The sequence below is a fragment of the Homo sapiens genome, chromosome 2 (assembly GCF_000001405.40).
Source record: "Homo sapiens chromosome 2, GRCh38.p14 Primary Assembly".
Taxonomy (NCBI): domain Eukaryota; kingdom Metazoa; phylum Chordata; class Mammalia; order Primates; family Hominidae; genus Homo; species Homo sapiens.
Genome location: NC_000002.12, coordinates 207,865,181 through 207,891,299, shown reverse-complemented (window position 1 = coordinate 207,891,299; position 26,119 = coordinate 207,865,181). Strand labels below are relative to the sequence as shown.

The following is a 26,119-nucleotide window of genomic DNA, read 5'->3' as shown; positions in this document are numbered from 1 at the left end:
GCTGCAATTCAAAATCCCTTAACAAGAGTCACTTGATTTACAACTGTAATGAGGCTTTATCCCACCCCCATGACCACAGATTCTTTGTCTCCGTTTTTTATTCTGACCAGCAGTTAAAACTATCCCTGGATAGCAAGAACACCTTGAGTGATGTTAGAAACTATCTGAAATGTTACAAAGGGTGTTTCCTACATGAACAATTTGACATTTATTTCACATCCACCACCACTACTAATCTTTTTTAGTTTAAGTAGCCTCAATTTTTCCATCTCTGACATGGATAACAATTTATTTCACATTACTGATAAGAAAACTAATAAAATATTTATTAAAATTTTATTGAAGTTTGTTAGCCAATGATAAAGTGTAATAAAAGTGCTTTTTCAAATGGCCCAGCAAGAATTACTGATGCTGGCATTTTTAAAAAATACAGTGAAAATAGTAGTTGATTTGCTTTGGTAATCATATCCTCCAAAAGCAATACTATAAAGCTAAGTGACAATGGCCTAATAGAAGAAGCAAAAATAACAATATGTAGCCATCATGATATAGTCTGAAATTCAAACTCAGAGTTTGGTAGATGATGTTGCTAGCAACTGAGCCCTTAAATGATGGCCTTTTCTATTGTCAGGTCTTACAGTATATTCTTGCTTTTTTGTTTTTTTATATTTTGAGAGCAAATTTCTCTCTGTCACCCAGGCTGGAGGGCAGTGGTACGATCTTGGCTCACTGCAACCTCCACCATCCGGATTCAAACAATTCTCGTGCCTCAGCCTCCCAAGTAGCTAGGACTACAGGTGCACGCCACCACATCCAGCTAATTTCTGTATTTTTTGTAGAGATGGGGTTTCACCATGTTGGCCAGGCTGGTCTCGAACTCCTGACCTCAAGTGATCCACCCACCTCGGCCTTCCAAAGTGCTGGGATTACAGGCGTGAGCTACCATGCCCAGCTCTATTCTTTAGTAGTAAGTTATTAATATATATTATTCACAGTCATGTATTTAAGGAAACCATCTCCTTCCCATAATTTGAAGATTTCTGGTAACTCTATTTTGTTTTATTAACACACATTCTCATTTGATGTTAACTACCTGTTTTCTAGGATGCTCTATAATTTATACTCCTGATGTCACCTCGTGACAAGAATTATGAGCACTAAAGCCAATTTGCAATTTTTAAAAAATGAACGAATAGGCAGGGGACGGTGGCTCACACCTGTAATCCCAGCACTTTGGGAGGCCAAGGCGGGCAGATTGCCTGAGCTTGGGAGTTGTAAACCAGCCTGGGCAACATGGTGAAACCCCGTCTCTACTAAAAATACAAAAAATTAGCCAGGTGTGGTGGTAGGCCACTGTAGTCCCAGCTACTTGGGAGGCTGAGGCAGGAGAATCACTTGAACCCGGGAGACAGAGGTTGCGGTGAGCCGAGATCAAGCCACTGCACTCAAGCCTGGGCGACAGAGCGAGACTCTGTCTCAAAAAAAATAAGAGGGAAAATGTGTGAATGTAGAAGGGCTGGGGGTGGCAGGAGGAAGGGAGGAAGGCAACTTGGCCCAGGAATGGCATTGGAAATGGGGAGAAAGGAGAGAGCTGACTGCCCCCAAGACATGTTATTTTTGCTGTGGCTTCTTGCTCCTTTCCACCCCCACCTCTTCCAGTCTGAGCTTTGAGCTTTGAGTACGCTTGAATTTTCACCACAGAACTTGGCTAGGCCTCCTAAGGGACTTTCTCTTTCCCATCTTTCCATAAATTATAGGTTTGCACATGAGAGCAGAACAGATGATTCCCATTATCTTTTGGGTTTGGTTAGGGCCGTGTGTGTGTGTGTGTGTGTGTGTGTGTGTGTGTGTGTGTGTGTGTGTGTTGAAAAAAACCTCCTGTCTGCTCTTAAATGTGTATTCTAGTTGAGGGAGGTGGAGCTTTGTTAACATAGTGGCCTATCTACCAAAGAAGTGGTCCTCTCCTCCTCACTAAGGTGGTTTTAACCTGATTTCCTTGACCAGGGTTGACTGCAATCATTTTCCTTGGCCTTTCAATAGGAAGTCACGGCCCCACCATAGCAGGGCCTTGTCTGGGTTGTTCACCTGCATCCCCAGCATGTGCAACAGTGCCAAGCATACTGCAAGCTCCTCCTGAATGTATGGGGAGATTTTTCTCCCTATTTTGGTGACAAAGTGACATTTCTAGGATACTTTTTACTTTCATAAATGACCCATTCAGATCACCACAAAGTAATTGGACAGATCCAAAAAAGTTGATTTACCCCAGAACATAGAGGCCATTTATAGGTAGAGTGTGGAACTCACTAAAAACTGGAGCCACTGCTAATACTAGTTAAGTTTAGAAAGCTCCACTCCTGGGTACTCATTTTGATTTCGTACCCAGACCACTGCAAACACAATAACAGACAGGGAAAAAGAGTTTATAGCATTGCCCCTGAGTTTATTCTGCTCTTTTTGGTATCCTAAAGTATTAAAGCCTCTAAGAGAAATAGGTCCTAGGGAACAGGTATAATGTGGCCTACCAAGTAAGGGGAGTAGACTATAATTCATGTCAGAGTCTGGAACATTTTATTGCTTATAGACATAATAGAAGTAGAGTGAAGGGGCTGGCATGGTGGCTTACGCCTGTAATCCCAGCACTTTGGGAGGCCGAGGTGGGCAGATCACGAGGTCAGGAGTTCGAGACCAACCTGACCAACATGGTGAAACCCCGTCTCTACTAAAAATACAAAAATTACCTGGTTTGGTGGCGGGCGCCTGTAATCCCAGCTACTCGGGAGGCTGAGGTGGGAGAATCACTTGAACCCAGGAGGCAGAGGTTGCAGTGAGCTGAGATCATGCCACTGCACTCCAGCCTGGGTGACAAAGCGAGATTCTGTCTCAAAGAAAAAAAGAACTAGAGTAAAGGAATTATCCAAGTGTGTGTGTGTGTGTGTGTGTGTATGAAGAAAAGCAGGATAAGGCAGACAACATTCATCAAGAAAGAATAGTTTGTGTTTGATGCACAATTCAATAGCAAAGCTGAGGTCCTGCCTGAAAGAGCAGAGCAAGCAAGGATGGTAACTTCACCCACTCAGAGGAGAAGCAGCCTAGCAATGAAAAGGTCTGTGGAGAAAAATGGAGGATTGTGACATCAAAAAGGAACAGCAGGAAAAGGAACACCTTGAGATGCTGGAGGAAGGAAGAGCCAGAACTGGGTGGAGAGGAAAGGGAGGTGGTAAAGATGTCACCGAGAAGCCTGTTGCAGAGATGGAAGAAACTGTCCTACATTGAATGGACAGGGACTGAGAAAGACAGATATTTTTATAATGCAGATCTTTCTGAATGAGACCACCATCAACATAGGCCCAGTATAGGGTCTAGAGATTGCCATAAATTTCCAATATAACCTTATCTTGTAGTTCAATTAGCCAAATACGTACTTGTCCACTATCTCCTGCCCTAACCTTGACCAACTTCTACTAAATTAATGCCCTCTCTTTCTACTTGACTGCCCTGGCAGTGCTGTTGTTCTCTGTGTACTAAATATAGTTCCAGGGACAAAAGGGATGAGACACATGAAAGGCAACAAGCTTAGATATGTTAATATATGTCTTTTTTGTTCAGGACCAACTAATCCATCTTAGGAGTCCCCTAGAACTACTGCTTTCTGATGTTAGCATATTTATTTGATTGTTTACTGATGAGTAAGTCCTCCCTTACTGTATTTCATAACATGAATTAAATTATAACATGTGTTGCCACTCTGACAATTAAATCCTATGTTAATTCTGTTGTTTACTCCAAATAGATGAGACACTGATTTCATAATTTAACAGCTAATACATTTGGGCAGCCTTGTTTACCTAAATAGTGACTTACAGTTAAGATCCTAAAATCCTTTCTCTGTGGTGTGATATTTTTGTGTCAAATGCATTGTGTACTATGCCCTAAAGGCAATAATATATCATTCAGACTTGCTGTTGGTCAAGTAAATGAGGCATGGAAGGAAACATGAGCAAAATGAACAGTAAATTGCCTTAGATGCATTTGTAGTAAGTTATTTATTTAAATTTACATCAGCAAAAGAATTGTCATTCTTATTCTCTAGCCATATGTTCTTTCCAGAAATGTGTTGCTATATTACTGTATGCCTGATACAGTCTAACATAGGCCTAGACCAATATCCTAATTTGGTGTTTCCCAAAGTGTGGATAGTAAGAATAATAACTAACATTTTTCAGCTCTTAATATATGCTGTTTACTGTTCTAAGGGTTTTACATGTATATACTGTACTCGTTTGATCTTCACAATGAGCCTGTGAAGTGGGTATTATTTTCCCCATTTCGTAGATGAAAACCTTAGGCACAGAAGGTAAATTACTCAGGGTCATGAGCTGGTACATGGCAAGGTCAGAATTTGAATTCAGGAAGGCTGTTTTGGCCAGTGCTCTTAATTATTATATGAGGATTCCTCTGATTCCATGGATTGTCTACCAAGACAATATTAGTTGGTACAGATAATTATTTTAGGCAGTTACATAGATGTGGCTTAAAATGACATTGAATTACATAATGAGAAAATTATTCCCTTCAATTCTCTTTCTGTCCTTCAGGTTAAATCAAACAGAAAGTTTCATTCCGGTGCTGGTATGACTGGAACCCCTAACACCTGCTGATCTCCCTTTTCAACAGAGAGTTGGCTGCAGGCTCAGGGCCTTGCAGCATCTGTGTTAGCTTCATTTTATGGCAAGGGATACTGGCTTCCCATTTATGGTATTTCTATAAGGCTTTCATTTTAAATAAACTTTTAAACGTAAATGACTCGATTTAAATAAAGCATTAAATAAATAACACAGGTGGAATGCAGCTATGACAATACCTGGAAAGGTGTTTTCACCTTGACAGTGTTGAAAACACTGTCCTGATTCTTCTGTTTTGAAATTCACTTATATGCAATGACTTTGGCTTTCAGTTACTTTTAATTGCTTTTAATCTATAGGTTATTTCTTTCTCCTTCTTGTTGGAATCCCCTGGGCTCATATTACAAAGATTCCCCATTTCCCTCCGTGGGCTTGGGGCTCATCTGGGATGGAGTTTTCACCAGATTTTAATAATATCACATATATTTAGTTTAAAATATTCCTGTTTTTAAAAATTATACTTTTCCACTTTTTTGGTGTTAAAATCCCCTTTTTTTGTGAAATATTGGTGAAAATAGATGGTAGCTTTTGTTTTGTTTTTAGCATCTTTACTTGGCTAATTTAAAATTGGAAACTTGAAAAAAATTATACTGATCTAGAAGACAAAATATTGGGGTGCCACTGTTCAGTCACTCTCTGCTCAGATATGATTCTTCCCAGTTGCCTAAGCATTCTTGAATGTTTCAGGAACGGTGTATGGACTCATGCTAATCTTTCTTTCTAAAGTGTACTCAAGCATTTTCTTCAGGGAAATTGTTAAAAAGTTCCTGCTTATGAAACTCTCTTATGTCTATTCCCCTAGGTTTATCGTTTTCCTATCAGAACTGCAATCCTAATTATTAATAAAATCATTTTTAAGTATCTGAGATAACTAATTATTGTGAGCAATCAATCAACTGGAATACTTACACAGTACTTACTAAGATGTGTCTATTTCATATACCCTTCCAAAATGGAAAGTTCATAGCACAGTTGAGAAAAACCTAAACAGTCATTGGTTTTTGTTTTTATTTTTCTTTAATGTTACTGGGATTCAGGGGAGTAGAGAAGCTACAAAATCTTGCACATATTTAAGAAAATTTTAAAAGGCCATCATTTCTCCATCTGCTTCTTTATTTCCTGCTTTGATGAACACAGTATTTTACATCGGATTTCAGAATTGGTCTAGAAAGACATCATTTGGAGGTGCTGATAGATTTGCAAAAGGCCCAAAATGCCCCATGTCAAGCAAGCTAGAGTTAGAAGAGCAGGGCTGAAGCACAAACAAGAAGCAAAGTTCAAGAACTCCAGGAAGCTTCAAGGCAGTTTGTCAGGATATATAATTGTCTGAGTTAGTCAGGGAAGATCTGTTAAATTCAAGGCCAACATACGCCAATAAACCCAGAGCAACAGGATCACTGCCGTAGTCACTGCTCTAAGGAAGAGAGTAGAAACTAGTCAGAGCTTTCAGACCAAAACATTCCCACGCCACCGGATCGCTCCGTAGATTCAGTGGATATGACTAGCTGGTGTGGAGCTTTTATTTTACTAACTCTGCAGTGTCTGAGTGGCCCTGTCCCTTACATGGCTTTCCTTGTGCCTTAAAGGATCTTCATAGAGAGACATGCAGGTTCTCAGCTTCGTCTACCCAACGAACTCAGTTTCAGCAGCACATGATGATGGCTTGTTTCTGATCTTACTCTAGGCCCCGTGTTCATATGGAGTCTTTCATGATCCACTCCAAAGGGACCTGGAGCAGGCCTATCAGACTAATATCATCTGTTCCCTTGGGAGTAGGCAGGGCCAGATTGAACTATGTGGGCGCCCAGGAAGGCTGGTCATTTGACATCCTGCACTTTGACACTCTTTAAACATATTTTCAATACATATTTAAATAGTATTCAATATATTTAGTAGGAGAAGAGAAACTGATTTTCTATTAATAAAATATAGATACATCATCTTTATGTTGAAAATGAAGAATGTATTACATGCTTTGATAGTAACACTACCTTTTTTACTTATTTGGAATGAGATTCCTTAATAAGCTTTTCCATAACTCTGAGCTGGACAGGGTTAGCCATTTAGTCTCTTCAAGAGTAGAAGCAATATACATGGATATAGTTACAAAGTCTTGTTCAAAATATATTTAAAAGTTAATTTTTTTCTAACTTTTGTGTCATCAAAATGTTTCCAACTTTCCTGTATACCAGATCTTGTCATCTGAGACTAGAGATAGTTTTACTTCTTCCTTTCCATTCTGTAGTTTTTTTCATTTCTGTTTCTTGCATGATTGCCCTGGCTAGAACTTCCAGTAAAATACTGAATAGATGTGGTGAGAGCAGACATCGTATCTAGTTCCTGATCTTCCTAGGAAAAAAATTGAGTCTTTCACCATTAAGTGTGATGTTAACTGTGAGTTTTTCAGATGTCCTGTATCAGATAAGGAAGTTCATTTCTATTCCTAGTTTGTTGAGTGGTTTTTTTTGGGGGGTGGGGGTGGGGACGGGGGTCTCGCTATGTTGCCCAGAGTGGTCTCGAACTCCTGAGCTCAAGCAGTCCTCCCACCTCGGCCTCCCAAAGTGCTGCGATTACAGGCGTGAGCCACCATGCCTGGCCTGTTGAGTGTTTTTATCAAAGAAGGGTATTAGATTTTGTCAAATGCTTTTTCTATGTCTATTGAGATGATCATATGGCTTTTGTTCTTTATTAATATGGTCTGTTACATTGTTTGATTTTCAGATGTTAAACTAACCTTGCTTTACCAGGAGAAATCCCAGTTGGTCATAGTGTATAATTCTTTTTATATGTGGATTCATTTAGTTTAATAGTATTTTGTTGAGGGTATTTGTATATTTTTCCATTTTTTATATAGTTATTTTCTCTAGTTTTTTGTTCATAATTTTTACTGAATCAGTCCATTTTAACATTTATGTAATAAAACCAGTCACCTGGACCCATGTTAGTTGAGTGCTGACTCAGATGACGGTCAGCTGCCTCACTCCAGGGCTGCTTCTCTGGCTTATACTTGCACGCTACACCTTACACATGCTCACCACCAAAATGCTCAATGCTCACTATATAAAGAAATGTTTAAACACTTTCAGTGCTATCTTCTTATTCTCAAGTGAGACTCGTTCACTTTTGCCAGTAATTTAAGAAATGTATGTGAAAACCTGAGCTCACTAGCACCTTATTTCCAATTATTTGGTGGTGATTTAATGCAGTTTACCAGTTTGTGTGCTGGGGCTGCCTGAGCTATACCTTAATCTAACTCTAATGGCAGGGGCTTGAGAAGAAGAACCTCACCATTGGACTCTGATGTTTTGATGCCTAGTCTCTGGTAGTCAAAACAGATCTAAGGCCACAGAAAAGAGCTATCTGAAATTCTTTCAGTTTTATATTGCACCAGCCATGGTTTTGGAAAGTACAGTCACAAAGCAATATTCTCATCTCATCTTCCCCTTTCAGCCACTTCCTTTAGGGGGAAGGAGACAGAACACTCAGCTGAGCACATGGTACCAAAGCCTTGTCAACCAATGGTAACGTCACAGGTGTGGAGCATCCTAAGTTGAGTATGTGTAGTTCAGCCAGGCGCGGTAGCTCATGCCTGTAATCCCAGCACTATGGGAGGCCAAGGTGGGTGGATCACTTCAGGTCAGGAGTTCGAGACCAGCCTGGGCAACATGGTGAAACCCTGTCTCTACTAAAATACAAAAATTAGCTGGGCATGGTGGCGGGCACCTGTAATCCCAACTACTTGGGAGGCTGAGGCACGAGAATCTCGGGAAAAAAAATTAAAAAAAAAACTTTTAAAAACTGTAATTACTGGCTGAGAATGTGTAGTTCAGTATGACTGAGCTTATCGAGCTTGTATAACAGGTACTTAGACATATATGTAGTCTGCCTTTTAGTCTGAATAAACAACATCATCAGTAGACAATGACTTTTATTATTTGATTAGACTGTAGGATTAACCAACTCCCATTGTGAAAACCCAGGCCTTTTTTTTTTTTTTTTTTTGAGATGGAGTTTTGCTCTTGTCGCCCAGGCTGGAGTGCAATGACGCGATCTGGGCTCACTGCAACCTCTGCCTCCCGGGTTCAAGTGATTCTCCTGCCTCAGCCTCCCGGGTAACTGCGATTACAGGCACCCATGACCATGCCCGGCTAATTTTTGTATTTTTAGTAGAGATGGGGTTTCACCATGTTGGTGAGGCTGGTCTCGAACTCCTGACCTCAGGTGATCCACCTGCCTCAGCCTCCCAAAGTGCTATGATTACAGGCGTCAGCCACCGCATCCGGCCAACCCAGGCCTTTTATAACTGTTTTCAGAGAGAGAGAGAAGAGAAAACAAGAAAGAACAACTCTGACCATGGTCTAAGAGCCAGGTTTCTGTCACTAAGCAATAAAGAAAAAAAGCTCAAGTAGCCCTTGCATAAGTGGGAATTTGTGGTTTCTAAAGCTGCCCATTCCCCAAATGACTAAAATATGTTACTGGCATTTGGCACTGTTTCCTATGTTTTGCTCTCCTTAAATTTCTCTTTAAAGGGGTTTGAGTTTAAAGGCAGAACCACTGAAAAATGTGATTTAATCATAGAACTGTGAAAGGCCAAGCCCAGAGTTAACCCCAGGATGCCCTGTGTTGTTTTGTTAAACCAGGACCTTGAACCAGGCTTATTCCCAAGAGGTGGTGGAAAGCCTAAGGGCAGGCAGGAGGGAGGCAAAAGAGGGAGGCAGAGGGAAGAAATCCAGTAGGCCAGACTGACCCCAGGATGGTGCCTCCAAGCAGCAAGGGCTTCCCTCCCTCACTAGGCCCAGTAGCTCCATGATTTTCACTGGAAAGAGTAGGAGAAAGGGAAGGGAAATTGAAGGAAGGGAGCCCAGAGCCAAGGAGAAGAGTAAGAAGACCCAGTGGTTGACTGTCAACCATACCGCAGGCTGTCACGGGACAGAACACGGAACTTCAAAGGGCCTTCTTGGCCCCAATTCCCATTTTTAAAATTGTTTTTTCTTGATTATAAAAGTATGCTGATTACAGAGAATTTGGGAAGCACACATAGTTACTGAATAGAAAATAACGCTCCAGGCAGCATGGCAGAGATTCAGACCTTAGCCTTTGGTAGACCTGAGTTTGAGTCCCAGCTCCTCCGTTCAGTATCCTCATCTATAAAACAGGAGTAGTAAGACCCCCATAATGATGTGGTGAGGATTCAATGGGATCAATACCTTGCGGAGGCTAGCTGCCAGTGTTATAATCATTATGATGGCACCAAGGTTAACATTATCTAATGTTACACATCCAGCTTATTCTTTTCTGTGAATGTATAGGTTTAAAGTATGGCTCATTCTTTATAGCACATCAGTTTTTATCCTGCCTTTTTAAAAACTTACTAAATAATCTTCAGAAGAATTAGCTAGTTTGAATGCCTGTATAAGATTCCATTGCCATAATTAGTTTAACCTTCTTGTTTGTATTGGGTATTTAGGTTTCCAATTTTGTATTATTATAAATAATACTATTATGTATATCTTTGTGCAAAACCATTTATCTTCTGACTATTTAAGATAAATTCAGAAATTCAGAAGAGGATCTACTATATTCAGAGTGTTTCTATATTCAGAACTACTATATTCTGAACCTTTTCAAAGTTCTGGATACAATTACCTATACCCATCAACAGTATAAGCAAGTTCTCCATATCACTGGAGCATAACCATTGTCATTAAAAAACACAAATCTTTGGTCATTTTAGAGGTAAAAAAAAAGACTTCTTATGATTATTTGACTTTGCATATCTATTTTTTATTTGTTTTTTTGTTTTTTTTTGTTTGTTTGTTTTTTTGGTTTTTTTTTTTTTTTTTTTTTTTTTTGAGACAGAGTCTCGCTGTGTCTCCCAGGCTGGAGTGCAGTGGCACGATCTCGGCTCACTGCAGGCTCCGCCTCCCGGGTTCACGCCATTCTCCTGCCTCAGCCTCCCAAGTAGCTGGGACTACAGGCGCCCGCCAACACGCCCGGCTAATTTTTTGTATTTTTAGTAGAAACGGGGTTTCACCGTGTTAGCCAAGATGGTCTCGATCTCCTGACCTCGTGATCCGCCCGTCTCGGCCTCCCAAAGTGCTAGGATTACAGGCGTGAGCCACCGCGCCCGGCCTCTATTTTTTATTTGTGAAGCTAAACTTTTTGTATGTTTATTACTACATCAATTTGCGTTTTTTTTTTTTTCTTTTAGACAGAGTCTCACTCTGTCGCCCAGGCTAGAGTGCAGTGGCACGATCTCAGCTCACTGCAACCTTCGCCCCCTGGGTTCAAGTGATTCCTGTGCCTCAGCCTCCCCAGTAGCTGGGATTATAGGCACATGCCACCACGCCCAGCTAATTTTTGTGTTTTTAGTAGAGATGGGGTTTTGCCATGTTGGCCAGGCTGGTCTCGAACTCCTGGCCTCAAGTGATCCTCCCACCTTGGCCTCCCTAAGTGCTGAGATTGCAGGTGTGAGCCACCATGCCCGGCCTGAATTGTTTGATTATATCTTTTGTCCATTTGGGAGCAGGCTAATTTTTTAGTTAAACAATTAACTTATGTTATAATCTTAAATACAAGTAAGATTGAGTGATGACAACCAAATGCTGCCAGAACTTGTCAGGAAGCAATTACAGAGCCACTTCCTGACAAGTTGAGAGACTTGTGTAGATTGTACATTAATATTCACTTTTGATGTACAGAAGGAGCTGAACATGTACCAAATGTTCAAATGTTAGGGTATTTTTTTTTACCCTGCATAATCAACAAGAATGTCAGCTATTCCAATAATAAAATGCTTTTCACAATCAATTTAAAAATTGCCCATTTTGGCCTTTCTGGCAGCCCACAGAATCCACCCTCCGTTGTCCTCTTGTTTAGAGAGCTGGCTAGCTCATTCCTCAGGAATGACCCATGTCCCAGGAGCTCAGGAATCACACATCCCCTAGAGGTTATTCTGAAGTCCATGTGGTGCTCTAGTGGCAGCAACTTCTCCATTTGCCCTCTGTGTTCCTGCCATTAGGCCATAACCCGGTCTGGTCAAAGACTTGCCATTTTGTTTGGACAAAGTTGCAATTTAAATGTTTGGATCCAGAGCTTGCAGTAGGAATGTTCCAGAAATACTTAGTTTAGCTTTTTGAATGCAAAGGTTGAATGCACTTGGAAAGGCCTAGAATAGAAATTAAGCAAGAGCACTTCTTTCTTAACAAGTGATCTGTTCATAACTATGGATGGCAGTAGAGCAAGAGGACGCAAACTGGTGAACAAAGTCACAAATGCCTTAGAAACTAGGTGACATTTGAGCCAGATGTGAAAGAGTGTGACTTGAGAGGAATTCGCATAGAGGAGAAAGAATCTAGCATTAAAATCAGACAGGCCTGAGATCAAATTCCAGTTTTGATGCATATTAGCTCTCTGACCATAAACAAGTTCTTTAATCTTTCTATGTCTCAGTTTACTTATCTGCAAAATGATTATAATACTCATTTGGGGAAGTTACAGAGAGAATTGGAATGAAATACAGAAAGCACCCAGAACTCATACATGGTAATAGCAATAAATGGTACTTATTACCATAATAGATGTTTCAGGGAATAGGCAGGCAACACAAGAGCAGAATATGAGTACATGGTAGATAAAGACTAGAAGCAAGTGAGGAAAAAGAGGCTGTCCCTAGCTTAGGGAAGACTTTATAGGGCATGCTGAGGAGTTAAACCTCATCCTCCAGGGGCAGAAGAGGCTTCCGGGGCTTTTCAATAAAAAATAAAAAAATAAAAAAAATAAAAATAAAAAAAACCCAGCTCTAGCAAGACACTAAAGCTTAGTGCTTAGGGCTTAAGCTCTGAGAGTCCAGCTCCCTACTCTGTACTTCCAAGCTGGGCAACCCCGGGCACATGACTTAAGCCTTCTAAGCCTCAGTTTTATCCCCTATGAATTGGTAATGACAAAAATATTGACCTCTTGGAACCATTGTGAATAACAGAAATAATAGTTTTGTTTGTTTGTTTTTGAGACAGTTTCACTCTTGTTGCCCAGGCTAGAGTGCAGTGGCGCGATCTCAGCTCACCGCAACCTCCACCTCCTGGGTTCAAGCGATTCTGCTGCCTCAGCCTCCCCAGTAGCTGGGATTACAGGCATGCACCACTATGCCTGGCTAATTTTGTATTTTTAGTAGAGACGGGATTTCTCCATGTTGGTCAGGCTGGTCTCAAACTCCTGACCTCAGGTGATTCGCCCGCCTCTGCCTCCCAAAGTGGTGAGATTACAGGCGTGAACCACTGCACCTGGCCAGAAATAATAGTTTTTTTTTTAATGCTCACTGTGTGCCTTCCAGTGTTCTAAGTGCTTTGCATGTATTATCATAAGTGAGGCAATGAATTAAAAGCCTAGGGCAAGGCTGGGCGCAGTCCTAACACTTTAGGAGGCCAAGGCAGGAGGATCACTTGATCCCATGAGTTCGAGACCAGCCTGGGCAATATAGGGAGACCTTATCTCCAAAAAATTTTTAAAATTAGTCGAGCATGGTGGCATGTACTTGTATTCCCAGCTACTAGGGAGGCTGAGGTGGGAAGATCGTTTGAGCCCAGGAGGCAGAGATGGTTGCGGTAAGACAAGATTACGCCACTGCACTCCAGCCTGGATGACAGAGGGAGTCCCTGTCTCAAATAAATAAATAAAAGCCTAGAGCAGTGACGGCACATATCAAACAGTCAGTCAGTGCTATGGGAATGGTGGTGGTTGTTGTTGATGTCATTATTAGTATTCTTTGGTCAGATCTATATTTTAATAAGATCTTTCTGGTGATGGCATAGAGAATGGTTTGGAATGGTTGAAACTAGAGGACAGGAGAGAAGATAAGACAGTAGTAGCTTCACATACATGTTTAAAAATTCATTGAGTAATATATTTAACATTTATGCACTTTACCTTATATGTGTTATACTTCAGTTTTTTAATGTAATTTTTTAAAAAGAGATAACCAACAAAACCTCTTCTCTCAGTTTACATAAGCTAGTCTACAGCTGCTTGGAGTTTCAATTAGCTGAGTTATCTTCACTTAAGAAAACGGACTGTGAGGAACGAAGTAAAATCCTTTTTCTTCAATTAGTCACATTCATGAAGGACAGGGAGCCCAAGGAAAACTGAAACCTCTACAACTCCTACAAAATTCTGCCCCGGTGGATGGTTTCCCTCTGCTAGAGCTGCTAGCAGGAGCAAATGAATCTAGATAGGCGTCAGCTCTCCCTTCCTCTGGCCTGGTGTTTCAGAGAAGCTAGCATGGGAAAGGCAGCTGATCAAGGTGGTGCAGAGAAGGACATTAGGGGCTGAGCCAGATCACAGACTGTCTGCCCTCAACCCTCAGGAAAATTGGCTGTTTCCTTTTTTAGGACTCTTTTCTATTTAGATTTTACTGAACCTCTGAACATGTCTCAGGTGGGCATGCTATTCAAAATGCTTTTCTTTTTGAAACTAATCTTATCTTTGAATGCCCTCCTATTGCAAAACCATGGTTTTCATTTCCTTCTTCGGGCCAAGTCTAAGGCAGGTCGGTCAGTACATTGACTTTTCCTTGGAATGACCTCAAACTAAGTGGTAAAAAATCTTCAGATTGGGTAATATACTTCCTTGGCACAGTACTTTGAGTGGTATGAAATTATTGTGACCTCTGAATAGATGAGGAATGGACTAAAAAAATCTGATACCAATACTGTTTCTCCTCCTTTTACTGTTCATTACAAATGTGCCTGAAGGGATGGAACCAGTAAGAGTGGGTCATCTCTGTTAGGGCAGGAGGGAAAAAGCCCTGGCGGAGCAGACCTGAATCTTGGTTGGAAGAGGGCATTTAAAACATGTGAGTGAATTCCTAATAGAAAACGGCAATATGCGTCCTAACTGATTGGTTACTTAAGTCCCAGTCAAGTATTTAAAGAGATAAGTTTAAGTGTCTAGAATTCAGTGTTAATCATGTAAACAAAAACCATCCTTAAATCGCCTGGTATTAGATATGGCTATTGACACTGCATAAGTCATTCTAATTGAATGGGCTGAAGCCTAAGAGACCCATAAGTAAGGGAACATTCTGATTAGGCAGACAAGTCTCATGGGAAGCAAACAAGCCTGATATAGTCATGACAGATTCATTGATAGGCAATTTTCAAGAACTTTTGTGAAAATAAACATATTATTAGGGACAAGTGAAAACACAGGTCATCTAAAACCAAAAAAATAGAGACTTTCTACATTTTTATAATGTTTATGTATATGCATATGCAGATTATGTTTGTTTACTTCTAAAGCCATGCTTTGTAGAGCTGTCATTGGTTTTTTTTTTAACAATTTAAATATTTGTTATAAAAGTGACAATTCATATTCATTATTTAAAAATCAGCCAGGTGCAATGGCTCACACCTGTAGTCCTAGCTGCCCAAGAGGCTAAGGCAGAGGATCGCCTGAGCTTTTCAAGTCAGCCCTTTTCTCCCCTACATCCCACTACAGTGGTAGCTTTTGTTCACTGTAGCCAGTCTGTGTCCTTCCAGACAATTGTACACAATTACAAATGTTAAATATTTGTAATGGGATCAGACTATGCCACCTTTCTGTGCTTTGTCTTTTCCAGTTCACATTATACTGTGGATATTTGGGCATGTATACACATTTAGTACACATGAAGATTTACCTCATTCTTTTTACTGGCTGCATAACAGAGTTATCTTATACCTAAAGTAACTGAGGTGTAAGCTAGGTAAGTTAAGCAAGGTAACTTAAACCTGTTTTGTTGTTGTTGTTGTTGTTGTTGTTTGCTTTTTTTAAGAGACAGGGCCTCACTGTGTTGCCCAGCTGGCCTCAGAATCTTAGAGTCAAAGGATACTCCCACTTCAGCCTCCTAAGTAGCTGAGACTACAAGGTGCACACTACCCACACTACCACGCCCAGCTAAACCTAAGTTGTGTGTTTGTGTGTGTTTTCAATCTGGCCAGTGTTTCTCTTTGAGGACCTATACTGCAGTGAACACCCTCCACATTTCCCTGTACACTTGTGTGAATATCTCTGTAGTGTAAATTCATTAAAGTAAGACTGCTAGGTCAAAGGGTATGCATGCTTCGCAGTTCAATAAATATTGCCAGTCCAGTTGCCTTCTGAAAAGGTAGAACCAATTTAATACTTCCATTCACTGTCTTGAGAGTGCCTGTTTTCCTGAACACACATTAATTTTCTATATTAACAATATTTTTAATCCTGGCCAATCTGATAAATAAAAATTAACTTCACAGTGTTGTTTTAATTTGTGTTTTTTCCATGAGAAGTAAAGTTGAGCATCTTTTTAATATCATTATTGGCCATTTGTAGTTTTTCTGAATTGCCTTTTTATTAACATGTGTTTAAGTTATAACATTGGTCTTTTCCTTATTAATTTAAGAGAGCTTTGTGTATACTAAGGAAATTGACACTTTTTTCATATAAATAGGAAATTTTTTTTTGTTTCTGTCATTTGACTTTTAAATGATATTTTATATTGAACTAATTGTTTACTTTATATATTTAGATTTATTACTTTTTTATAGCATCTAAGATTACAAAATATTTACCCCACATAAATGGGGTAAATTCTATTTTTCTAATATTCTAAATTTCTAATATTTTTCCCTAATGTTATAGTTTTAAAAATATTTTATGGTTTTCTTTTTATATTTAAGTCTTCAGTTTATCAGAAAATATAGTTTTTAAAGGCCAGACATGGTGGCTCATACCTGTAATCTCATCACTTTGGGAGGCCAAGGCGGGCGGATCATGAGGTCAGGAGTTCAAGACCAGCCTGGCCAATATGGTGAAACCCCATCTCTACTAAAAATACAAAAATTAGCCGAGCATGGTGGTGTGCACCTGTAGTCCCAGCTACTCAGAAGGCTGAGGCAGAAGAATCACTTGAACCCAGGAAGCAGAGGTTGCGGTGAGCCAAGATCGTGCCACTGCACTCCAGCCTGGGCGACAGAGCAAGATTCCATCTCAAAAAAAAGAAAATACAGTTTTTTTGTTTGTTTTTGAGACGGAGTTTCATTCTTGTTGCCCAGGCTGGAGTGCAAAGGCACGATCTCGGCTCACCGCAACCTCCGCCTCCCAGGTTCAAGCAATTCTCCTGCCTCAGCCTCCCAAGTAGTTGGGATTACAGGCGTGTGCCATCACGCCTGGCTACTTTTGTATTTTCAGTAAAGACAGGGTTTGTCCATTTTGGTCAGGCTTGTCTCGAACTCCCAACCTCAGGTGATCCGCCCACCTCGGCCTCCCAAGGTGCTGGGATTACAGGTGTGAGCCACCATGCCCGGCCTGAAAATACAGTTTTTATGAGATGAGTTAGGGATCCAGCTTATTTGCTTTCCCTGATGGCTAACAACTTGCCCCAACATCATTTATTTAAAAATTCATCTTCCCCACCTTTATTGTATAGCAAATTCCCATGTATTTGAATCCATATTCCGGATGTACAGGTGCCCAGGCATACAGACACTGCAGACACAACAGATAATATTCTAGAAATATAGGACATGTGAAATTGTAATCACTACTGTATTGAAAGTTGTGGCTTCTACTTGTGGACCTTGAAGCAAAGAGTAAAAATCCCCAACCATCTTAGACAATGATATACAGGCTAATAAAAGCACCTATTTCAATGTACATGCAGGGCTTGTTTTTCCTCATCAGTGAGCCAGCAATGTATTAGATCACAACCTTCTAACCAGGGACTCACTTTAGTTTCTCATTTAATCTCAGGAATGGCTGGTCCCATAAAAGCTGTTAAGTAATAATAATGTTGAGCCCTTATATTGTACTTTACATCCCGAAAGTGCTATCTAAACATTAACTAATTAAATGCATTGATGAAAGGAAGGGATTTGTAGAGGTTTTCAGGAAAACTGATAACTGGTTGCATACCTGTGAGGGGATGATTCTTAAAAGGCCTTACTTCCCTCTTTGAATGGAGCTCAGCAGGCAGGGGAACAAAAAGCTGGTGACATTATTTCACTTTTGTTGAGAATTTCCTGGAGTATCTTCTAATTAGTCTGGTTAAACTCACCTTTTATCTAGCTCCGCAGATATTCCCTTGCAACATTCTTGGAGCTATTCAACAAGTTTCTTTTGATGTCTTCCTTGTTGGTTAATTATAAAATCGTACAATCTTCAAATTGAAAGAGATCCCTATTGATCATCTAGTTTTGAATGACTGAATAGAATCACTTTATTTTGTAGATGAGGAAACTGAGGCATGGAGAAGTTAAGTGATTAACAGAAAAGGTCATAGAGCTTACTGGGGACATAGCTGGGAATAGAAACCAAGATTTCCAACTCCCATTTCAGATCTCAATCAGCTTCATTGAGCAATGAAACTTTCTTCCCTCTTTATAAGCCTGTGTTCTCTATTTTTTAAACTTAAAAAAAAATTGCCACAGAACCATCAAGCCCAATTTCTTCTTTTTTTAAATATCACTATCATTGTTATTATTATTATTATTGCTTTCATCCTTCCCTACTTCTTCCCTTCTTTGCTCTCAGCCTTTCATGTCTCTCCTAACTCTTATGGTTCATTCCCCTACATGATCAGGTAATGCTACTTTTGTTTTTCCTCTGTTTCTGAAAAGCCATATTTCTTTAGTTTCTCCCACATACGTACATACAGGGAGTTGCTTTGTTTTGCTTTCTGTTTTTCCTCAGCTGTAGTTGCTTCTCCTTTTAATAAAGTTACTTCTCTAGTTTTGGCAAATAGCCTAAGGTGTTTGTTTGTTTGTTTGTTTGTTTGAGACGGAGTCTCACTCTGTTGCCCAAGCTGGAGTACACTGGCGCGATCTTGGCTCACTGCAACCTCCGCCTCCCGGGTTCAAGTGATTCTCCTGAGTAGCTGGGATTACAAGCATGCAGCACCACCCTCGGCTAATTTTTTTGTAATTTTAGTAGAGACGGGGTTTCGCCATGTTGGCCAGGCTGGTCTCAAACTCCTGACCTCAGGTGATCCATCCCCCTCAGCCTCCCAAAGTGCTGGGATTACAGGCATGAGCCACTGCGCCCGGCCGCCTCGGGTTTAAGTTGATGATAAATCCATTTCTGTCACAGAATTTTGTGTAACTTTAATTTATGAGTTTCCCCTAGTTGAGCCAATAAGATGCTGTTAAAGATCATCTTCATATTCAGAAAATTGCATGAGATGTGACCATTAAAAGAATTTTTATACAAGAACTTCATATAAGGACTAGAGGTATTATTTTTCAATAAGCCAAAGGCAGATCCAGTTCAGATCAAAACTGTGGATCTAAACCTGGGCTAATTTAGTCTGCACAATCCTGCTTCTGTGCAGGAACTCAGTTTTAGAAATCTTACATTTCTACAAGGTGGGTCAGTAGGCATCCAGTGACCTCAGAATTCCTGAGCTGAACCAAATCCTGGGGCTACACTCTGACCTCAGATGCCCTCAGAAAGGCCCCTTCCTTGGAGTAGCAAGGGGTGCTTAAGAAAGTGAGTCAGAAGTTGTCACTAATTAGCTGGGTGATCTTAGGTAGAGCTCATCACCTCTCTGGGCTCAGTTTTCTCATATATTAAGTAACGAAGGTGAGTTAAAAAGTCTGCTTAGAACTTTTCCTCATTTACTGCTCAATGAGTCAGTAATGTCAGAACTCGGGCTAAAAGGAATAGTAGAGACCTAAATCAGATTTATTTCAAACATGTAACTAACTCAACAGAGAAGCACAATTCTGCTGACCATCTATGAGAATTTTCTGGAATTGTCTCAATTTAAAATACTGTAGTTTATTTTCCTCATAAATAAAACACATGTACCTATATCAGATCATATAACCTGTTTTGAGCTCAGAATATTTGGACCACATTCTTGTACTTACTCTTTGCAAATGCTTCATTAAGTTCCATGGAGTTGTGGTTTAACTAAACCACAACCCTTGAGGCACTTAGTGCAGAAAAGCTGTCTGAAGTAGACCCCATCCCATATATTTTTCTGGATAAGAAATGTGCCTTCTCGGTTTCATCTTTGCCATTCTAGCCACTGAGAAAAATGAAATTGAAATTTTTTAAATCTTTTATTCCCTAAGACCTAGTTTCCAGCAGAGAGCAAAATGTAATTTGATAGGAGTGATGGTGGCCACTCATAAATCTACCCAATTGCATTAAACCAGATTAAACTATCACATAGTTTCCCAGCTCTAAGCAGAAATTATCACCTTTGGGAGAGGATCAGATAAGAGCTAATTGGTGGCATCACAATCCACCCTCAGTAAAGTGCTTGATTAGCCAAAATTTAAGTCTTGTTAGAGTAGTCCCATAATGGATTGGGGAGGGTGAGGAGCAGCTAATTAGAAAAGAGACACTTCTATGTTTATGTACAAACATCCCAGCATTGAGCCATGATAAGGAGCTCAAAGGTTAATTATGGGAAAATGGAGTTTTGAACAACTTTTTGAAATAGGAATATCCCATATACTTTGGTGATATTTATTTATTTTGAGATGGGGTCTCGCCCTGTCACCCAGGCTAGAGCACAGTGGCCCAATCATAGCTCGTAGTTCACTGCAGCCTCAAATTCCTGGGCTCAAGGGATCCTCCCACCTCAGCCTCCTAAGTAGCTTGGACTACAGGTGCATACCACTGCAATCGGCTAATTTTTTAATTTTTTACAGAGATAGGGATCTCACTTCATTGCCAGGCTGGTCTGGAACTCCTAGGCTCAAGTGATCCTCCCACCTTGGCCTCCGAAAGTGCTGGGATTACAGGCATCAGCCCCCACATCCAGCTTACTTTTCATTTTCTATTTTTAAGGATTGATGAGTAAGAGAAGTAAAATTTAAAATTGAGGATTCAGAATAGTCTCGTGAGGTGTGTTAGGATTTTCAAGCTTGAGCAGAATCCACAGGCTGTTTTTTCCTAACTTCCCATGAACTCACCTGGCCAAGGCCACTAGACTTCACTCTACCCACCTATTAAATGAACTGAGAAATGACCCTAGAAACAAAATGCAACCTTTCATGGTTGTCTGGCCAGGCAAATGCAACTGAACTATATGGGAAATTATTTCACAATGTGTGACAATGTTGATTCTTCCATTTCGTCAAGCCAGCCTGTTCCTAGTGAGTGGCAGGTGACCGTTCACTGTGAATTGGGTCTTTTGGTTAGACTTTCAGAGACGGAGTTGTTTGTCAAGTGCAGCAGCCCTCTTCACCAAAGCATTCCCGACAGTCGCTCCAAATCTAGATGTTACACAATGGCTAAGGAAGCTTGTTTTGAAATGGAAGGTAAATTGACAAATCAGAGGGAAGGAATTAGCCAATGCATAAGGAAATTTGATGAGAAAGAGCTTTTTCCTCTCTTTTTTCTTGCCCAGGTTACTAGTTCTCTGTCTTCTCCGCCCCCCATAAATTTTGAATTTTGTGGTGGTGCTGAGGGAGTGAAGGTAACCAACATAAAAGAATCATTTGTGCCCTTTTCCCAATCCCACAGATCTCTATTGGCTGCAGACCTTGAACATGACACTGCAATTTCCTGGTGCCACACATGAGTAATAAGCAGCTGTTTCTGAAACTGTGGTTTGGGGAAGGCAGCACTAGGTTATTTTTTAACTTAATTGTAATTTTTGATTGGTCTGCAAGAAAGTAAATCAAATAAAGTCTGTTGTCTTAGTCTGCAAGAAAGCCATAGGCCTCAAATTCCAATGCTGACCATCTTGACCAGAATAGAAGAGGGAGGCAAAATGTGTGTATCCCTGAGCTGGAAGTTCAACCAGGCAGATTTCATGGGCTTCTTTCACACAAGAAGGGTAAGCATATTTGACATATTTGTCAGGGACTGGATGGTGGAAAGTGATATTTGGCAGTTCCTTGAGTTCTAGAAGTACCTAAAATGATGGTGAAAAGAATTTATAGACAGACTGCAAAGGTGGAAAAATAGCAAAATCTGGAAGCCGATACAAGCTTGATGCTACATTTTGTCTTTGTGTTACAGGGCAATAAAGTGACCTAATTTTGTTACAAATGAAAATGTGTATTCTTTGAATACCCAGTTAGTATAACACCTCTGAAATAGTCATATATACACACTCCCCAAGTAAATAAATCAGACTAGTACCTTCCTTAGTACAAGACATTAAGTTTAATGGAAAACAGAAACAAACTTTCACCCTATTTTGGACATCTGCCTTTTCTCAAGGAGATAGGGCAATTTGGTATATGGAGAAAGGGAAAGGAGGTTGAGTGCAGGGAAGCAAGGAAATGGGGGAAGAGCTACACGTTTCCTTCTAATTACACTGTCATGATTTTGTTCACGTAGACATGCCCTTTGAGGGAATAAATAGAGATAACTAAACCTCATCTCAGGTCTGTTTCACTATCACTAGTCATATTACCAAATGACCGCCTGGTTTAACTAAAAACTACCAGCCTTCTAATGCTAAAGATGAAGTGTCCTTTTGACTTTTTGAGGGGTTGTTATAAAGTTATATTAGCCTATGACTAATTTAAGTACAAGTAGGAAAGGAGTAAGACACAATTTCCAGGTGTTGCTAAGATGTTATCTTACGTAAGTGATTCAGATTAAGTTTGAGGCATGTTAAATGTCTTCCCCCTAGCATTTTGGCCTTGGCAAAATTACGTATGCTTGTACAAGCCCTGTTTTCTTATTTACAGCAATACCAGAAGAAATGGATGTGACTGCTTTACATTAATTTCTACTGATCCCATCCAAACAGATAATATCAGAAGAAATGGATGTGACTGCTTTACATTAATTTCTACTGATCCCATCCAAACAGATGAACAACTTGATGTCTTCCTTTAAAAAAAAAATGACATGTGGCCTTCATAGCTTTTTTCCTTCCCCTTGATGTAAATCTCAAGTGTTTAAAAGGAGGAATGAGTCTAAATCATAGAAAATCTCTATTTAGATTGGGATAAGCTAATTAGCTATTATTTATTGATCCCTTGCTGTAAGTCAGAAACTATATTCGATGCTTTCAATGTATTAAATCTGATCCTTCTCTCAACCCTGCAAAGTGGATACTGTCCTAATTTTTCAGTTAAGGAAACTGAGACTCAAAGAGGTTAAGTAGCTTGCCAAAGTCTCACAGCTGGAAAGTAGATGAGCTAGAATTTGTCCTCAGATCAGCCTTGCTTTTTCCACTCTACCCCACTACTTCCCAATACCCAGAGACAACTGAGTTATGATGGGGTATGGAAAGCTCCCGAAGGCCAGCCCCTCTGGGAGACTCCCTAATGAGTCCACCACTATCCATTGGAAAATACCCCAGTTTCTGAGAAGCAAAAACTCTACCATGTTTAGATTTAAAAAAAAAAAATAATAATAAGCTTTGACCAGTTAAGGAAGTCATTTTGAAGTTTATTTTGTCCTAGTTGGTCCTGGCTTGATCTCAGTGATAGTAGATTCCCCTGCATCAACTCTAGCCAGAGCACACTGTTTCTAGGACTTTTCCCCACGCTGAGCCCTGTTGAGGACTGTGGTCACTCTAGCAAGTCACAGCAGTTTAGGGTTGACATAGCAGAGTTCAAATGTCTGACTTTTCTCACTGTTGTGTACTTGTTGGCCAGGATGCCTCATTTGACTTTGTCTCACCCATAGTCATTTTCAGATCCAATGGCCCAGTGGCATTCTGGCAGCTCTTTTCTATTCTTCATTCTTGGTTGGAACCTGAAGGTAGTATGCTCCTCTGGCTTTGGTCTAATATTTGAGGCCACTCTGCCTTCCTAGTATTTGTATAATATGGCCCCTTAAGCCCCTACCGAGATGGCTAGGAAGTGGGAGTGAAAGTTAAGGCTCTTGGGATGGTGGGAGGAAAGACAATTGATTTATTTTTGAGCACGTATCCAAAATAAATAAATAATATATTTATAAACATAAATGTATATGTCTATGTGTGTATGTATGCATTTATGTATGTATTATATATAAAATGATTTATATAATTTTGTGTGTGTGTGTGTCTATGTATGTATGCTTTTTCAAAAAGAACCCTAGGAGAAATCACACCTGGAGCCCACTTCTTCATAGTGATGAAACCTCTGGACCAGATGCTAGGATGGCCGGATTCTGTTCCTAGTGCTTCTAATAGTTGTATTCAAAGACAAGATTAACCCTTCTGAATATATCTTTACCCCTGGAAAATTATAAATGTAAGGTTTTCCTTCTACAATATTAAAGGAATGTTTGTAAATTCTAAAATAAACTTCATACTATTACCTCACTTTTCTGGATAAAAAAATTCCAGCAGCTTCAGCCATTTGGAACATGGCCATGAATGTAAGCTGACAAATGGGAAGAGCAATTAATCAAGTAAATCAAGTATAAAGAAGCAAAAGGATCCCTGAATAGCTGAGCTGCCACAGAGGCCATGCACTCTTTATCCTCCTCCTTGAATCACACAGCAGAACGATTGAAAATGTTTGCGACACAAGACAACCTAAGATATGACTGCTGACAGCCAGGGGTAAAGACAGAAAAGTGTCCTTGGTTAGTCAACAAGAACTTGGGTGCCTGGAAGACGGGATATTTCAAACAAGTATGAGACTGTCTTTGCCCTCAAGCAATTTATATTCTCTTAGATTTCTCCATATAAAATTGCCATTTGTATGGGTAAAAATTGTCAAATATCATCATTTTTAAATGTTCAGTCTACAATTGGATAAGCAAAACAATCGTATGTTAAAAGCAAAGAGTACAAAACAGCATCAAGTTCTGTATTATATGATGTAAAAGTTAATTTCTAGGGAGAAACACAAGAGATTTATGGTGTCTGAAGTAGCCAAAGATGGCTTTCTAGATCAAGACAGGGTAGATCTGAGCTGTGAAGCCTACATGAAATTTAAGTAAGGGTTAAGAAAAGTGAAACTCCAGATAGAGGAATGGCATGGATGAAGGCACAGGAGCAAGAGCAAGCATGTTCTACATAGGGGAAAATTTGCTCACAACAGGAGGTACATGTTAAGAAATACGAAATGAGTTTGGATGGCTAATATGGAATCCACTTGCATACCAGGCAAAATATAAGCTCCAGTTTTGTCCAGTTCACTCTACATTGAGTGTCTGGGACATAGTAACTCAATATAATTTTATGAAATGAAAGAGTGAAGAGTTTTGATTAATGATACACTTAAGAATTCGCCAGGCCCAGTGGCTCACACCTATCATCTCAGCACTTTGGGAGGCCGAGGCAGGCAGATCACACAAGCTCAGGAGTTTGAGACCAGCCTGGCCAACATGGTGAAACCCCACCTCTACTAAAAATACAAAAAATTAGCTGGGCATGGTGGCTCATGCCTGTAATCCCAGCCACTTGGGAGGCTGAGGCAGGAGAATCGCTTGAAGCTGGGAGGCAGAGGTTGCAGTGAGCCTAGATCACACCACTGCACTCCAGCCTGGGTGACAGAGCAAGACTCCATCTCAAAAATGAAGAATTCACTAAAGGTTTGAGGGAAGAGATGGTATGTGATGAAAGTGATGTCTAAAACTGATTAATATGTATGCATGATGGATCTAAGAAAAAAGACTGACATCTAGAAATAAAACTAGGAGATTAGTTTATTAATCTAGAGAGGAGAGATAAAAGTCTAGGGCAGGGTGGAAAAAAGAGACTTACAGTGAAGGCATTTAAAAGAAAATCAGCATGAACCTTGAACACTTTATGCTAAGTGAAAGAAGCCAGTCATAAAAGACTACATATTATATGATCATATTTACATGAAAGCTCCAGAATAGGCAAATCTATAAAGACAGAAAGTATATATATATATATATATATATATATATATATATCTTTTTTTTTTTTTTTTTTTTTGAGTCGGAGTTTTTGTTCTTGTTGCCCAGGCTGGAGTGCAGTGGCACCATCTCAGCTCACTGCAACCTCTGCCTCCTGGGTTCAAGCAATTCTCCTTCCTTAGCTTCCCGAGTAGCTGCGATTACAGGCATACACCACCATGCCCGGCTAATTTTTTTGTATTTTTAGTAGAGATGGGGTTTCACCATGTTGGCCAGGCTGGTCATGAACTCCTGACCTCAGGTGATCTGCCCGCTTCGACCTCCCAAAGTGCTGGGATTACAGGCATGAGCCACTGCATCTGGACAGAAAGTAAATTATTGGTTCCTTGGGCTTGCAGGGGCATGGCAGAGGGAAAACAGAAGTGACTACTAATGGATATAGAGTTTTTTCAGAGGGTTAGTGGAATGCCCTAAAATCGATTGTGGTGATGTTTCACAACTCTGAATAAACTAAGAACCATTGAATTGTAGACTTTAAATAGGTGAATCACATGGTATGTGAATTATATCTCAGTATAGCAGTTATTTTAAAAGAGGGGGAATAAATGAAATGTGGTGAATGACGGGATATACGTATTTAATGGAGAAAATGAGTCATTCACTATAAACTCCATAAGTTC

The 26,119-nt window shown here is 40.1% G+C and overlaps 1 protein-coding gene across 7 annotated transcripts in view; it reads left to right on the top strand.

Annotated features, from left to right (window-relative positions):
- The window catches only part of PLEKHM3 (pleckstrin homology domain containing M3), a 204,240-nt gene that overhangs the window by 134,228 nt on the left and 43,893 nt on the right, over positions 1–26,119 (top strand). For 2 of the 7 annotated variants that reach the window (XM_006712521.5, XM_047444266.1), the window contains one exon: positions 22,358–22,718. The exons of the other annotated variants lie outside the window; for them this stretch is intronic. In XM_006712521.5, the coding sequence (XP_006712584.1) occupies positions 22,358–22,381 (24 nt within the window). In that variant the 3' untranslated portion in view covers positions 22,382–22,718. Of the gene's footprint in view, positions 1–22,357; positions 22,719–26,119 lie in introns of those variants that run through there. 7 annotated transcript variants of the gene reach the window in all.